A 15128-nucleotide genomic window follows, 5' to 3' on the forward strand; every position below is an offset into this window, starting at 1 on the left:
ATACTTTTTTTTTTTGTACAGTTGACCCTTCAACATCATGGAGGTTAGGGGTCCCCAAGCCCCCAGTGCATTAGAAAATCCAAGTGTGTGACCAGAAGTCTTACCAATAACATAAACAATTAACACACATTTTGTATATGTATTATATATTGTATTCTTACAATAAAGTAAACTAGAGAAAGGAAATTTTTGTTAAGAAAAATCATAAGGAGGCTGGGCATGGTGGCTCACACCTGTAAACCCAGCACTTTGGGAGGCTGAGGCAGGCAGATCACTTGAGGTCAGGAGTTCGAGACTAGCCTGGCCAACATGGTAAAACCCCATCTCTATGGAAAATACAAAAATTAGCTGGGTATTGTGGTGCATGCCTGTAATTCCAGCTACTCAGGAGGCTGAGATAGGAGAATTGCTTGCACCCAGGAGGTAGAGGTTGCAGTGACCCAAGATCATGCCACTGCACTCCAGCCTGGGCGACAGAGCAAGACTTTGGCACCATTGAGTAGGACTGGAGCTGGGTTAAAGGGCTGCTTCTGTGTCCACAGTCAAATGCACAGTTTTGGTGGGTCTATTACTGGGGAGCAGGTGGGTGTGATACCTTCCAGGTCCCTAGACAGATGGGACTTCCTCCAAGACTGCACAGAGAAACAGGCCTGGAGCCAAGACTCCAAGGTACCTCACTTCAAAGAGCTGCTCTTCTCTCCAGATCTTGACCCTCATATCCTGGCTGCTCTAACAGTTGCCCCAAGTAATTTATAGATTCGATGCTATCTCCATCAAGCTACTACTGACTTTCTTCAGAAAATTAAAAAAAAACTACTTTAAATTTCATATGGAACCAAAAAAGAGCCTGTATAGCCAAAACAATCCTAAGCAAAAAGAAAAAAACTGGAGGTATCATGCTACCTGACTTCAAACTGTACTACAAGGCTACAGTAACCAAAACAGCATGTTACTGGTACCAACACAGATATATAGACCAATGGAACAGAACAGAGGCCTTAGAAATAACACCACACATCTACAACCATCTGATCTGTAACAAACCTGAGAAAAACAAGCAATGGGGAAAGGATTCCCTATTTAATAAACGATGTTGGGAAAACTGGCTAGCCATTTGCAGAAAACTGAAACTGGACCCCTTCCTTATACCTTATACAAAAATTAACTCAAGATGGATTAAAGACTTAAACATAAGACCTAAACCCATAAAAACTCTAGAAGAAAACCTAGGCAATATCATTCAGGACATAGGCATGGGCAAAGACTTCATGACTAAAACAACAAAATCAATGGCAACAAAAGCCAAAATTGACAAATGGGATCTAATTAAACTAAAGAGCTTCTGCACAGCAAATGAAACTATCATCAGAGTGAACAGGCAACCTACAGAATGGGAGAAAATTTTTGCAATCTAACCACCTGACAAAGGGCTAATATCCAGAATCTACAAGGAACTTAAACAAATTTACAAGAAAAAAACAACCCCATCAAAAAGTGGGCAAAAGATGTGAACAGACACTTCTCAAAAGAAGACATTTATGTGGCCAACAAACAAATGAAAAAAAGCTCATCATCACTAGTCATTAGAGAAATGCAAATCAAAATCACAATGAGATACCATCTTATGCCAGTTAGAATGGCGATCATTAAAAAGTCAGGAAACAACAGATGCTGGAGAGGATGTGGAGAAATAGGAATGCTTTTACACTGTTGGTGGGAGTGTAAATTAGTTCAACCATTGCAGAAGACAGTGTGGCGATTCCTCAAGGATCTAGAACCAGAAATACCATTTGATCCAGCGATCCCATTGCTAGATATATACCCAAAGGATTATAAATCTTTCTACTATAAAGATACATGCACACATATGTATATTGCAGCCCTGTTCACAATAGCAAAGACTTGGAACCAACCTAAGTGCCCATCAATGATAGACTAGATAAAGAAAATGTGGCACATATACACCATGGAATACTATGCAGCCATAAAAGAGGATGAGTTCATGTCCTTTGCAGGGACATGGATGAAGCTGGAAACCATCATTCTCAACAAACTAACACAGGAACAGAAAACCAAACACCACATGTTCTCACTCATAAGTGGGAGTTGAACAATGAGAATACATGGACACAGGAAGGGAACATCACACACCGGGGGCTGTCATGGGGTGGGGGGCTAGGGGAGGGATAGCATTAGGAGAAATGCCTAATGTAGATGATGGGTTGATGGGTGCAGCAAACCATCATGGCACATGTATACCTATGTAATAAACCTGCACATTCTGCACATGTATCCCAGAACTTTAAAGTATAATAAAAAAAATTCTGCAAAGCCTTCAAATAGATGTTTTTTAAATCCAGTTTTTGTTGTTGTTCCTAGCATTAAGACTGGCTTGCCAGAAACTAGCTCATCATAGCTGGCATTGGAAATTTCACGCGGTATTTTTTTTTTATATAGAAGATATGTTCAAATCAGGTTCCAAATAAATTTTACACATTGCATTTGATTGATATACCTTATAAGTCTTTTTTAAATATGGGAATCTTTTTCCTACCTTTCTCTTATTGTATTTGATTTGATGAAGAAACTGGGTCATTTATCCTGTAGAGTTTTCTGAATTTTCCTGATTGTATTCCCATGGTGATATTTAACATGTTGCTCAGTCTCCTGTATGTCTTGTAAACTGGTAGTTAGAGCTAGAGGATTGATAATATGCATCAGTTCCTATTTTGGTTATGTTTTACAATAATAAATCCAATAGTTAATGCTCTTTGCTTTCTACTCCATCTTTTAAGATTAAGAGTGTGTTTACTTGTCAGCCAGCATCTATTATAAAAAGTTTACTCCCTGAATTTTTTACCTAACGTTTCAGTAGTCATTGAAGATCATTGCTAAGGTTCATTATTTCATTTGAGGTTACAGTGGTAATATTTTATTACTCATTTTTACTGCTTTTATTTTTAATTTGTTTTCCTGAAAGAATGTTATTTTAGTGCTATTTAAAAATATTATTCACACTTTCTCCTTCACACTTTGAAGGGATACCATTTCACTCCAGAGAGACAGAAACACTGAACAGAAGAGGCTTGAAAACTGTTTGAGCCCTCCTAGTACCCACATTCAGAGACTTTTCACTCTCACTTTATTTGATCTCTTTGACTCTAAATTCTAACCAATAAGAAAGTAAGAGAGTTTTATACCTAAAATTGCTATATCATTCTCCAACCCAGGAAAACAGATATCACCCTGGGGAACTTCTTAAATTATACTTCTACTTTATTCTAGTCCTTCATGTTCTATATGGAGGCACTAAAGGTCAAGGACTCTGTATTACCTATTTCTGTGTAATAAATTACCCCAAAACGTAGTGGCTTAAAACACATACTTTTTTATATCACACATTTTGTGGGTCAGTAATTTTATATCACATATTTTGTGGGTCAGTAATTTTATATCACAATTTTGTGGGTCATTTTTTGTGATGCAGCTTAGTTGAGTAACTCTGACTTAATAAAGGTTTTTCATGAGGTTGTAGTCAGTATCAGCCAAGGCTGTTTTCATCTGCTCTCCTGAGGGTAGGTCCACTTCTCAGCTCACCCACGGGAACTAGTAGCATTCAGTTCCTCCCTAGCTGTTGTCCAGAGGGTCACCCTCAGTTTTCTGCCGCTAGGGCCTCTCCATCGGGCAGCCCTCAGCATGGCAGCTGGCTTTCTTCAGATGAGAAATAAGAGAACAAGAGAGAGCTCTCTTTGTAACCTAATTGCAGATGTGATATCCCATCACTTGTGCTGTACTCTCCCCATTAGATGCAAGTCACTGTCTAGCCTGCGCTCAAAAGTGAGGGGTTACAGCAGAGCATAAATAGCAGGAGGCAGGAATCACGGGGGCCATCTTAGAGGCTGTAATGTATATGACCTGACAGCAGCCACGCCTTTGAAACAGCCCACATTATCAGAGTATTTTTTGCTCTTTGGTATTGGAAATAGGCTCTTTTTTGTTGAAAGTCTCCAACCTATCTGTGTTAAAGGGCTTAGTCTCTGAACAAAGCTAGCTTTATTAGGCAACTATATCTGTAATGATATTAGAGCATTTTCTTTCTTATGATACACTCTTTTAATTTTTTCTTGTAGCCCTGGTTGTTGCTATGAAACAGCTATGACAAGACATTTTTATCATGGCCGTACAGAGACTATGCGATCATGCACAGTTGAAGCAGTGAGGTGGTGCCAGTCCATGCAGGATCCTTCTGTCAATGTGAGTATTGGAAAGGAAAAAAACTCACAAGATTTGTTTAATTGTTCTAAAGGAACCGTGGTCTTTGAGTAACTAACTTCTTTGCTTCAGTTTTCCTGGATCATTAAAATACTTTGAGACATCTTTTCTGAGGTTTTTAAAGCATTTGTTCATTCACCAGTGAAATGTGTAATTGGAAACAGGGAAGGCAGGAAAAGGATCCCATTTGTGTTATTTTCTAGGCAAAGGGTCTTCAGTACTTTAGGTATTTCAGGACTTCTAATCTACCTTTAGAACAACACCAACAAAGTGCAGAAATCCCAAGGTGCCTTTAAAAGGAAGGTTTTCTTGATGTGGTTGAATGTTTTTGAAATGACAGATTCTTGTTTCATATAGTGGAACCAGGACAGTTGTATGCTTTGTTTCATACTCTTTTTTTTGAAGCATTTAGACAACAGCAAATTTCCTTCTCACTGTTATTTTAGTATTATATTTGTTTCTTTAGTTTTGCTAGATGTGGTTATATATGAGTGCCTGTATCTTAATTTTATAGAACTGCTTTATTGTCATTTTTAGTTATGCTTTCATTTTTGAAATATCGGTTGCTTTTATCTTTATACTTGTTAGTGTCACTTCAGTGCTGCCCACAAGTTCATAGTTTCCTATTCCAGGAAAGAAATAAGAAGCAGGATATACAGGGAAGACTAGGCGATAGAATAACTGATGGAAAGATATAGGAGTATGTGTTATAGATCTTCCTAGAAATCTTTCCTCTCCCAAATTACCCCAATCCTAATTACAATGAGCTTAGGATTTTTTTCTAGTTGGGTTTTGCACAGTGTGTTATTGAAGTGTCTCTCGATTTTTAATACAGCTTCGTGAGCGGCAGCAAAAGATGTTACAAGCTTTTGCAAAGCATAATAAAATGATGAAAGATTGTTCAGCTGGAAAAGGTACTTAAGTTAAAATTTTTCTGACTTAAAAATCTCTCATGGTGAAAAATTTTTTTCTAACCTGAGATTTGGGGTTTCATTGCAGGATTTGATCGTCACCTTTTAGGTCTCTTACTCATAGCAAAAGAGGAAGGTCTTCCTGTTCCAGAACTCTTTACGGACCCACTTTTTTCCAAAAGGTAATATAGTGTAGTGTTTTACAGCTTCATCAATTGGCTTCCTCTTTTTGTATATTAAATGGTTTTTAGAAACAATATAAGCATCTGTAGGCCTAGTAAAATGTTCTTTTATTGTGCCACACAGCGGAGGAGGTGGAAATTTTGTTCTCTCAACAAGTCTGGTTGGCTATTTACGAGTCCAGGGAGTGGTAGTTCCCATGGTACACAATGGTTATGGATTTTTCTACCATATCAGAGATGACAGGTGAGGCTTCTCTTTTTTATTCTTTCTGTGCTATAGAGTAGGAAAGGTATTACTTTTGTTTTTAAATGCCTTTCCTACACTGTGATTCTTATATTGCCATCTGTCACTTGCTACATAAGTAACTATTTTTTTCCACTTAGGCATTTAATGCATATTCATGTTTCTCTGTCCTGCTTTTGAGACACTTGTCAGATTAGTCCCTTAGGTGTCTTTATGCAGAACACTGTTTCAAGTCGATTCGGCAATCATATCATCATCCTCAAAATCAGTACACCCATGAACATATTTGGTTTGTACAAGGTATTTTATAATAAGCTCAGATAAAATGTTTAAATATATGGTGGTTCATGTAGTCATAGACAATATTAATGAGATAGAGAAAAGAGATTGGGTAAATTATACTTTTTAAAACAGTTTTACCAATTCAGATGCAGTTCACTTGGGCTGTGTGGAGTTTGACTTATGTTTATGGAAAGAATGAGAAAGAAAAGATCAAAACCTGGTATAAAAAAGAGTAGTGGAGAACAAGATAAAATGAAAGTGATAGCAAGGCTTGTAAGGTCCTTATCTACAGTCTGGCAGTCTCTTTACAGGGGCTTTTCAAAGCATAGTTGGCTTCATAAAAATTACGTGACTACATTTAGCACTATGTGAATAAGAAGAGGGCAGGCTTGGAGGCACTTCAGATAGAATGTGAAAAATTGGAATAGTAATATGCATGACATATTTCAGTTTCTAATACAACTGACCCTTGAACAACATGGGTTTGAACTGCATGGGCACACTTACATGCAGATTTTAAATAAATGAGAAAATTTTTTGGAGATTGAGACAATTTGAAAAAACTCAAAACTGTGTAGTGTAGAAATATTCAAAAACTAAAGTATTCATGAATGCATAAAATATATACAGATACTAGTCTATTTCATCATTTACTACCATAAAATATACACAAATCTACTATACAAAGTTGAAATTTATCAAAATATATGAACATAAGCCCTTACAGACTTTATATGGTGCCATTTGCAGTCAAGAGAAATGTAAACAAATGTAAAGATGCAGTTTTCAATCATAATTGCATTAAATTAACTGTGGTACACACTGTACTACTATAATAATTTTGTAGCTACCTCATGTTGCTACTGTGGTGAGCTAAAGAGTTGCAAGTATCTCCTTAAGATGTCACATAATGCTAATCATCTCTGCAGAAGCAGTTTGTCTCTTTAGCAGATCACAAAAAGTGATCTTTCGTGGTTTATTCTCATGTATTTTTCATTGTGGGTAGTACAGTATTGTAAACATTGAATAATACCATGGGACCCACATGTAGTGCTTCTAGTGATACTGCAAGTGCTCCCAAGAAGCAGAGAAAAGTCATGACATTACAAGAAAGAGTTGATTTGCTTGATAAGTATCATAGATTGAGATCTGTAGCTGCATTTGCCCATCATTTCAACATAAATAAATCTAGTATAAGTACTATTTAAAAAAAAAAAGGAAATTTGTGAAGCTATTGCTGCAGCTACACTGGCAGGCATTAAAACTTTGCCGTTTGCAAAATGCCTTTTGATCTCCAATTAAAAATGCAGCTTTTTGGTGGGTGCTATATTTTTTATAGCAAAAAAAATGCCTTTCTTGCTATAAAAAGGCATACCTATAGACTCTACTATGATTCTAGAAAAAGCGAAGTTATTATATGACAACTTTACAGGAAGGTGAAGGATCTGAAGCTGGAGAATTTAATGCCAGCAAAGGATAGTTTGATAATTTTAGAAAGAGGTTTGGCTTTAAAAATGTCAAGATAACAGGAGAAGTAGAGGCAGCAGACAAGTTCCCAGACACCATCAAGAAAATCACTGAGGACAAAGGATATCTGCCTGAACAGATTTTTAATGCAGACAAATGTGCCCTATTCTGAAAAAAAAAATGCCACAAAGGACATTTGTTAGTAAGGAAGAGAAGTGTATTAGTCAGGGTTCTCTACAGGGACAGAACTAATAGGATATTTAAGAAGTATGTAAGAAGCATTAACTCACACGATCACAAGGTCCCACAATAGGCCAGCTGCAAGCTGAGGGGCAAGAAAGCCAGTTTGAGTCCCACAGCTGAAGAAGTTAGAGTCCAACGTTCAAGGCCAGGAAGCATCTAGCACAGGAGAAAGATGTAGGCTGGGAGGCTAAGCCAGTCTAGTCTTTTCAGGTTTTTCTGCCTGCTTTATATTCTGGCTGTGCTGGCAGCTGATTAGATGGTGCCCTCCCAGATTAACGGTGGGTCTGACTTTCCCAGCCCACTGACTCAAATGTTAATCTCCTTTGGCAACACTGTCTCAGACACACCCAGGATCAATACTTTGCATCCTTCAATCAAACCAAGTTGACACTCAGTATTAACCATCACAAGAAGCAAGCATCAGGCTTTAAGGCAGAAAGGGATAGGCCAACACTACTGTTTTGTGCAAATGCAGTAGGGTTTATGATCAGGACTGCCTTTGTCTGTAAAGCTGTTAACTTTGAGCCTTGAAGGGAAAAGATAAACATCAGCTGCTAGTTTACAAGAAGGCCTGGACCAATGATAACCTTTTTTTCTGGACTGGTTTCTTTGATGTTTTGTCACTGAAGTCAGGAAGTACCTAGCCTTTTAAAGTTGTTTTGATTTTGGACAGTGACCCTGGCCACCCAGAACCCCATGATTTAAACACCCAAGGTGTCAAAATGGTCTACTTGCCCCCAGACATGTCTCTAATTCAGGCTCTAGATCGGGGGTTATAAGGACCTTTAAGGCTCATTACATGCAGGACTCAATAGAAAGGATTGTCACCAAGGATTGTCTTTTACCCCAATGGAAGAGAACATCATGAAAGTCTGGAAGGATTACACCATTGAAGATGCCATTGTTGTTAAGAAGAAGTCATGAAAGCAGTCAAGCCCAAAACAATAAATTTCTACTAGAGAAAACTATGTCCAGATGTACATGATTTCACAGGATTTACGACAGAGCCAGTCTAGGAAATCATGAAAGAGATTGTCGATATGGCAAAAAAAAGTGGAGGGTGAAGGATTTCAAGGTATGGATGTTGGGCCAGTTTCAGTGGCTCATGCCTGTGTTTCCAGCAGTTTGGAAGGCCAAGGTGGGAAGATTGCTTGAGGCCAGGAGTTTGAGACCATCCTGAGCAATATAGTAAGACCTCATCTCTATTAAAAAATTTGAAAAATCACGCACTAATAGTCACCACACCAGAGGAATTAACAGAAGGTGACTTGAAGGAGATGAGTGCTTCTGAACCAGAGCCAAATGACGAGGAGGAAGACATAGTAGAAGCAGTGCCAGAACTGATGTTAGATAATCTCACAGAAGCGTTCTGATTATTCAAGACTGTTTTTGATGGCTTTTATGACATGCACTGGACCCTTCTATGATAGGAGCATTGAAACTAAAGCAAGTGGGGCAAGGGTTGGTACAGTATAGAAACATTTTTAGAGAAATGAAAAAGCAAAAAGATAGAAATTACAATGTATTTACATAAAGTTACACTGAGTGTGCCAGCCTCCCCTGCCTCTTCTTTCATCTCTTCTACCCCAAGACTAGACCACTGCATTTTAAATGTATTACATGCTGATTGTAAAAAAAAAAAAGTTGTTAAATATAAAAACTACATAAGAACAAAGTTATCTACATTTCCATTACATGGCATAAGACTATAATTATATGATGCTCCCAACCTATAATGTATGTAGACTGTATATTTACACTGTAAATATTTGTGTCCTTTTTTGTGAATTTCATTCTTGCTTATTATTTCAAGCAGTTTACAATGCTATTAAGTATGCTTTGAGATATTTTGATGGTTGTATAATTTCCAGTCTTAGGATTCCTATGATTTATCTAACTGCTTCTCTACTATTTTGTTTTTCCATCATTACAAATAATGTATAAGGTTATAAACGTATCCTTTCTCATTTCATCACACCATTGCCAACTCTAGTTATTATAAAAATTCTGTAGGCTAGGCATGGTGGCTCACGCCTGTAATCCCAGCACTTTGGGAGGGATTACACTAGATCACTTGAGGCCAGGAGTTCAAGACCAGTCTGGCCAACATGGTGAAACCCCATTTCTACTAAAAATACAAAAATTAGCTGGTGTGGTAGCACACACCTGTAGTCTGAGTTACTTGGGAACCTGAGGCACGAGAATTGCTTCACACTGGGAGATGGAGGTTGCAGTGAGCTGAGATCATGCCACTGCACTCCAGTCTGGGCAACAGAGTGAGACTCTTTCTCAAAAAAAAAAAAAGTATTTACTCATTTGACAGGCAAAAAATAACATAAATTACTTGTTTACCTATGAAGTAAAACATGTTTTCATTGTTTTTGGCATTGTGTTTCTTTCATGAATTGTCTGTACATGTAGGAAAGGCTGTTCTTTAGAAAGATAACTGAAATTTTTTTAAAAAATTGACACTTGAATAAGAATGGTTAATCTGTGGAGAGAAACATGTTTAGATGCTGCTAAATATCTGGGAATTCCATGCCAAGTGTAGCTGGAGAATGATTCGTGATCATGAATCACGAGGTGAAAACAAGGCAGGACTTCCTAAAGGTTTCTGTATTACTTTTCTGCAAATATAATCCACTCAGACATTGGTTTCATCATTATATACTGGGCTAGAGCATGTTCTTATTTTTATTTCTCTTTGTTTAACTTAAAGCACATGTTGAAGACATAATTTACTCTTTTTTTAAGTGATGTGAAAATTGCATGGTTTTCCAGAAGCATTACATTGCACATTTTAATTTTGAGCCTAATTCATATTTCGCTATAGAAACTTCTGTCTGTAAAGTGGAAGACTAGCTCTAAGTCAGGCTTCTCTCCTATTTATTTCAGCTTCCCAGGGCCACTTTTCTCACTTGCCAGATCTGGGATTTCTTATTAGGAGTATCTCGAGAAAGATGGTGGAAGGCATGACTTGATCCCAAGAGTTTCTCTTTTTGACTCCTAGAAATAGCCTTTCTCACCTATCATCCTTCTCTGCCTTTTTTTTTTTTTCAAACTTTCTTCAAGTACTCTTTAAAAACAGTTTAAATTTCATTAAAAACTGTAGCATGAATTCATATTCCAACTCATTCCAGTAGCACTTTAGGAAGGACTTTTCTAGGAAGGAGGTTTTTTGTTCTGTTTTAAACGCAGTAAGACCTAGCTTCAGAGCACTCTAGGGCTCTAGCTAATTTGTTCCCCTTTGTCCCTAGGTGCTAGTCATCTAATGAATGAGGTGTTTCTTAGCATTATCTACAGATATGGCTTTACCTTCAATTGTGTCAGGTTACATTTACCTAATGTCAGCAAGACTTCACATTTCATGTATGAATATCCAGATGAAATAAAGTCCTGGTTGTATTCACCATCACTATTTGGAGCCTTTTGTGTAATCATTAATCATTATTTATGCTTCACAGGTTTGTTGTGGCCTGTTCAGCCTGGAAATCCTGTCCCGAGACTGATGCGGAAAAGCTAGTTCAGCTGACTTTTTGTGCTTTTCATGATATGATACAGCTGATGAACTCTACTCATCTTTAGAGATGAATCATCTATTAAGCACTTACCAAAACATATCATTAAACTGAGTGCTGGGAGTGAGTTGGTAATATGAGATGGGAAGGAATGTTGACTTGCTAACATTCCTTTAACAAGTTAAGAAAACTTGTTAAATGTAGAAATTAGTAGAATCATGCTCTCTAAATTTATTCTGCCATAGAAGGTAGAAATATTTTTAAGCTCCTCTGATGCAGCAGCAATGCAAATTATGACATAGTGAATATAGAACTATGCAGTATTTAAGCCTCAACAATCCAAATCTACAAACTTTAACAATGCAAGTCTTACTCTAATTTTTAAGTATTTTTGTTGGTACTTACATGGGTTATAAATCCTCTCTCTGGACATCAATGTAGAGTCCATCTTTCAAGCACTTTAATTTTTTTAGCTGCCAAAGGGTATGAATTACATTATTGTATGCTAATTTCCCTGAAATCAATGCCTTCTATGTTCACCACAGGGATACAAGCCTGTTATGTTTGATGGGAAAGACCACTACAATCTAATGGTGATCTAAAATAACTTTTTTGGGCTGGGTGCAGTGGCTCATGCCTATAATCTTAGCACTTTGGGAGGCCAAGGTAGGAGGATTGCTTGAAGCTAGGAGTTTGAGACCAGCCTGGGCAACAGGGTAAGGTCCTGTCTCTACAAGATCAAAAACTTAGCCGGGTATGGTGGTGCATGTGTGCCTGTAGTCCAAGCTACTTGAAGGCTGAGACAGGAGGATCGGTTGAGCCCAGGAGGTTGTGGCTGCAGTGAGCTGTGATGTGCCCTTATGCTATAGCCTGGGCAAGAGCGTGAGACCCTGTCTCAAAGAAGAAAAAAAGAGAAAAATAACTCTTTTGAACAAACAGACAAATTAGCTAGTAGTATGGAGATGTATACCCTCTATTACACACATAAAACCGTAACAAAATTCATTGTGGTGTATTATAATTAGTTTTGTGAATAGAAAAATAAAGCACTTATGTTTAAATTTGTTACAGTGACTTTTAAAGGATTAATGTTGAATCACATTGTCAGAATTTTTTCCTCCTCGCTGTTCAATTTTGTAGTTTTTACTCTCAAAAAATGAAATTCTCAAAATTATATAGCTTTTTGTTTTGTTTGAATAAATGATTCATTCCTGTTTGCTTTTCTGGTGCTTTTTGACCTCAGTTATATATTGCTGTGTAATTAACCATCCAAAACTTAGTGTCTTGAATCAGTTTATTGTTTCTCATTACTTTGTCAGTTGATTGATAACAGCTAGACAGTTCTTCTGCTCATCTTGCCTGTGTTTATTTGTACAGCTATAATCATCAGGCAACCAGGACTGAGGCTGGAAAGTTTAAGATCACCTCACCAACTATCTGTAAATTTGGTGGCTGGGACTGTCTCTCCTGACATGGTCTCTGATCATCTAGTATTCAGAATTGAGCTTCCTTACTTGGTAGTGAGAGTGTTCTGAGAGGTGAAGGTCCCTTGAGGCCTAGGCCCTGAAGTCACATGCCATCACCTGGCTGCATTTTGTTGATTAAACCAAGTCACAAGAGAAGTCCAGATTCAAGGAGTGGGGAAAAAGTAATATCTTGATAAGAGAAAGTCACTTTGTAAAAGAGTGGGCACAGAGGGCATGATTATGGGTACTATAGCAATCTGCCAGACATTTTAATATATGTAAAGATTACATCATACTCAGGGTACTGATTCTATACATCCCTTTTAAGAAACATGTACGCTCTGAATTTGATAAGACTGGTTTATTGCTAACAATTAAGCCCTTTACACTGTGCCAGCCTCTGTCCTGAAAAGCATCAGTACTATTTCTCTGTGAAAACATTCAGAGTTGGCTTCAGTAGCATTTGATACATTTCTTCACAGTTGGTATAGAAAAGGAAGATGAGATCTGAACTAAGAACCTTTTCCCCTCATTCTAATGCAGGGTTTTAAACTAGATAGCGAGGACATTTAGAATCATTTGGTTGGTTTATAAATACAGGTTGAACATTCCAAATTTGAACACCAGAAATGCTCCAAAATCCAAAACATTTTGAGTGCTGACATAAGGAAATGCTCATTGGAACATTTAGGATTTCTGGACTTGGGATGCTCAGCCAGTGAGTATAATGCAAATATTCTGAAATATGAAACACTTCTGATCCCAAGCATTTTAGATAAGAATACTCAACCTATAATGTGTAATGAGTTGCGTATTTTGGAGACTGCATCACCTGCACAGAAACCTCCTCTCACTCACACTTCACCACTTTTCCTAACTTGCCTGATGTGAATAATCACCTAGAGTGTATTTTAAAAAACAGATTCCTGGGCCTCAACCCAGACCTACTGAATCAATTATTTTGTTTACGAATAGATGCCCCATGATTCTGATCAGGCAAGTTTGGGTATCATTATACAGGAATAGGTCAAACACTACTTTGGGTCACTGCAGTAATGTACTTTTTGCCCCACTTTTATCTTGGTTAATCTGAAACTTGATCCACTCACACAGTGGTCACATTTGAAAAATTCTTTGGTAATATGGCTTATTACAGTTAGAAGAACTTTGGATGATTTACTGAATTTAACAACCTGATAGAGCGCTAAGAACTAATTTGTTGCAGAAAATTGTGGAGAAAACAAAGGGAAAATTATTGAAACATTTCAGTGTGGTTAGCTTCTAGGGGTTGTCTATATTTTTTGCTTTCCATCTAAACATACCTTTCATTGTAGGAAAAACGGATTTTCTGGGAAAAGTAGTCTATTTATAAAAGAGAACGCAGTTGCTATAGAAACTCAGCATGTATCATTGATGTTTGATGTTTGAAATTATACTGATAATTGTACATTTTAAATTAATGAGTTTAAAACTTTAAAAAAATACTTAATGATAGGGCTCTTTCTTGCTTTATGGAACCGATATGTGCTTTCAGAGTTAGCTCGGTAGGGCAATTTCATTTTCTCTTGATGTTGGATGATAAAGCTGGAAATTCATTCATTTAAAAAACTTTGATTCCACAATAGAATGATTTAGAAAATTACCAAGAGAGATGAGGCTATTGAACAATTTATTTTTCTTTTGTACTTGGGAAAATTATTCCCAAACTTTCCTGTCTACCCAACCCATTCAGGACCATAAGACCATTTCCCTATGTCTGTGGCTTCTATATTTCTACACCTGTACTTACCTTGAATTTTGTTCTTTTTCTGGATGTTTCTAATAACTTAGGGAGAGCTAGCCTGTTGTTTCAATACTTCATCAAGACAGGTGTCACTTCTAACTCTCAAATTTCAAATGCCGTAATAAACCCCAAATTGGGTCTTCTAAATTGATCTAGAATGAGACAGACATACCTATGTTTTATGATGACAAACCAGAAACTTATTTTACAAGTCAGATAAAATGGTAGAATAATTTGAATTTATTTTTAAAATATACTGTAGCAAAAGTTCATAAGTTCTGTGTCCCAGCCTGGACACTGACCATTGAAAAATAGATGCCTTTCTGTGCCAGCAGCTGCTGATGCGTGCCATGCTCCTTGACTCTCCCATTCTGAAACACCACTATTAAGTCTGCATTCTGGATGGTGGACAGGCGGTGAGCAATCACAATGCAGGTGCGGCCTTCTCTGGCTTTGTCCAGGGCTTCTTGGACAACCTATTGATAAATCAGACAGACACCTTATCCCAAAAATTGTATAAATTAGTTTTAACATTCAAGTAAATTTGAAAATGTTACCTTTCTAATCAACTTTTAATTTCTAGTATCTTAGAATCTTTGAACTTTATGCATGTGTATTTTGTATAATCAACATTTAATCTACATAGTTATGTTCTGCTTTTTAAATATAACACAAATGGGTTCCCATGCTGTAAAAAAATTCATAAGTATTTAAATTTTCTAATCTTCTGTTTAACTAGTTCCCTTTTGAGTATTTTCCA

General features: G+C 37.2%; 2 protein-coding genes across 21 annotated transcripts in view; one reads left to right on the forward strand and one right to left on the reverse strand.

Moving 5' to 3' along the window:
- The window catches only part of CROT (carnitine O-octanoyltransferase), a 54131-nt gene extending 41795 nt beyond the window's left edge, over window positions 1-12336 (forward strand). For 2 of the 3 annotated variants that reach the window (NM_001143935.2, NM_021151.4), the window contains 5 exons: window positions 4131-4254; window positions 5108-5186; window positions 5272-5365; window positions 5490-5609; window positions 11066-12336. In NM_001143935.2, coding sequence (NP_001137407.1) covers window positions 4131-4254; window positions 5108-5186; window positions 5272-5365; window positions 5490-5609; window positions 11066-11186 — 538 coding nt within the window. In that variant the 3' untranslated portion in view covers window positions 11187-12336. Of the gene's footprint in view, window positions 1-4130; window positions 4255-5107; window positions 5187-5271; window positions 5366-5489; window positions 5610-8457; window positions 11017-11065 lie in introns of those variants that run through there. The other variant, XM_011516337.4, reaches the window with a different exon arrangement.
- ABCB4 (ATP binding cassette subfamily B member 4) overlaps window positions 1-15128 on the reverse strand; it is a 110132-nt gene that overhangs the window by 21563 nt on the left and 73441 nt on the right. For 9 of the 18 annotated variants that reach the window (XR_007060047.1, XR_007060046.1, XR_007060050.1 and 6 more), the window contains 3 exons: window positions 14671-14844; window positions 14375-14520; window positions 2555-2696 (listed from right to left, as the gene is read on the reverse strand). Coding sequence is in view for 7 of the 18 variants with exons in the window: in XM_011516309.4 (XP_011514611.4) it covers window positions 14464-14520; window positions 14671-14844 (231 nt within the window). In the remaining 11 variants the exon portion in view is untranslated. Of the gene's footprint in view, window positions 1-2554; window positions 2697-14237; window positions 14845-15128 lie in introns of those variants that run through there. The other 9 variants (XM_047420476.1, NM_018850.3, NM_000443.4 and 6 more) reach the window with 3 other exon arrangements.

Source organism: Homo sapiens, chromosome 7, assembly GCF_000001405.40.
Source record: "Homo sapiens chromosome 7, GRCh38.p14 Primary Assembly".
NCBI classification, from domain to species: Eukaryota; Metazoa; Chordata; class Mammalia; order Primates; family Hominidae; genus Homo; species Homo sapiens.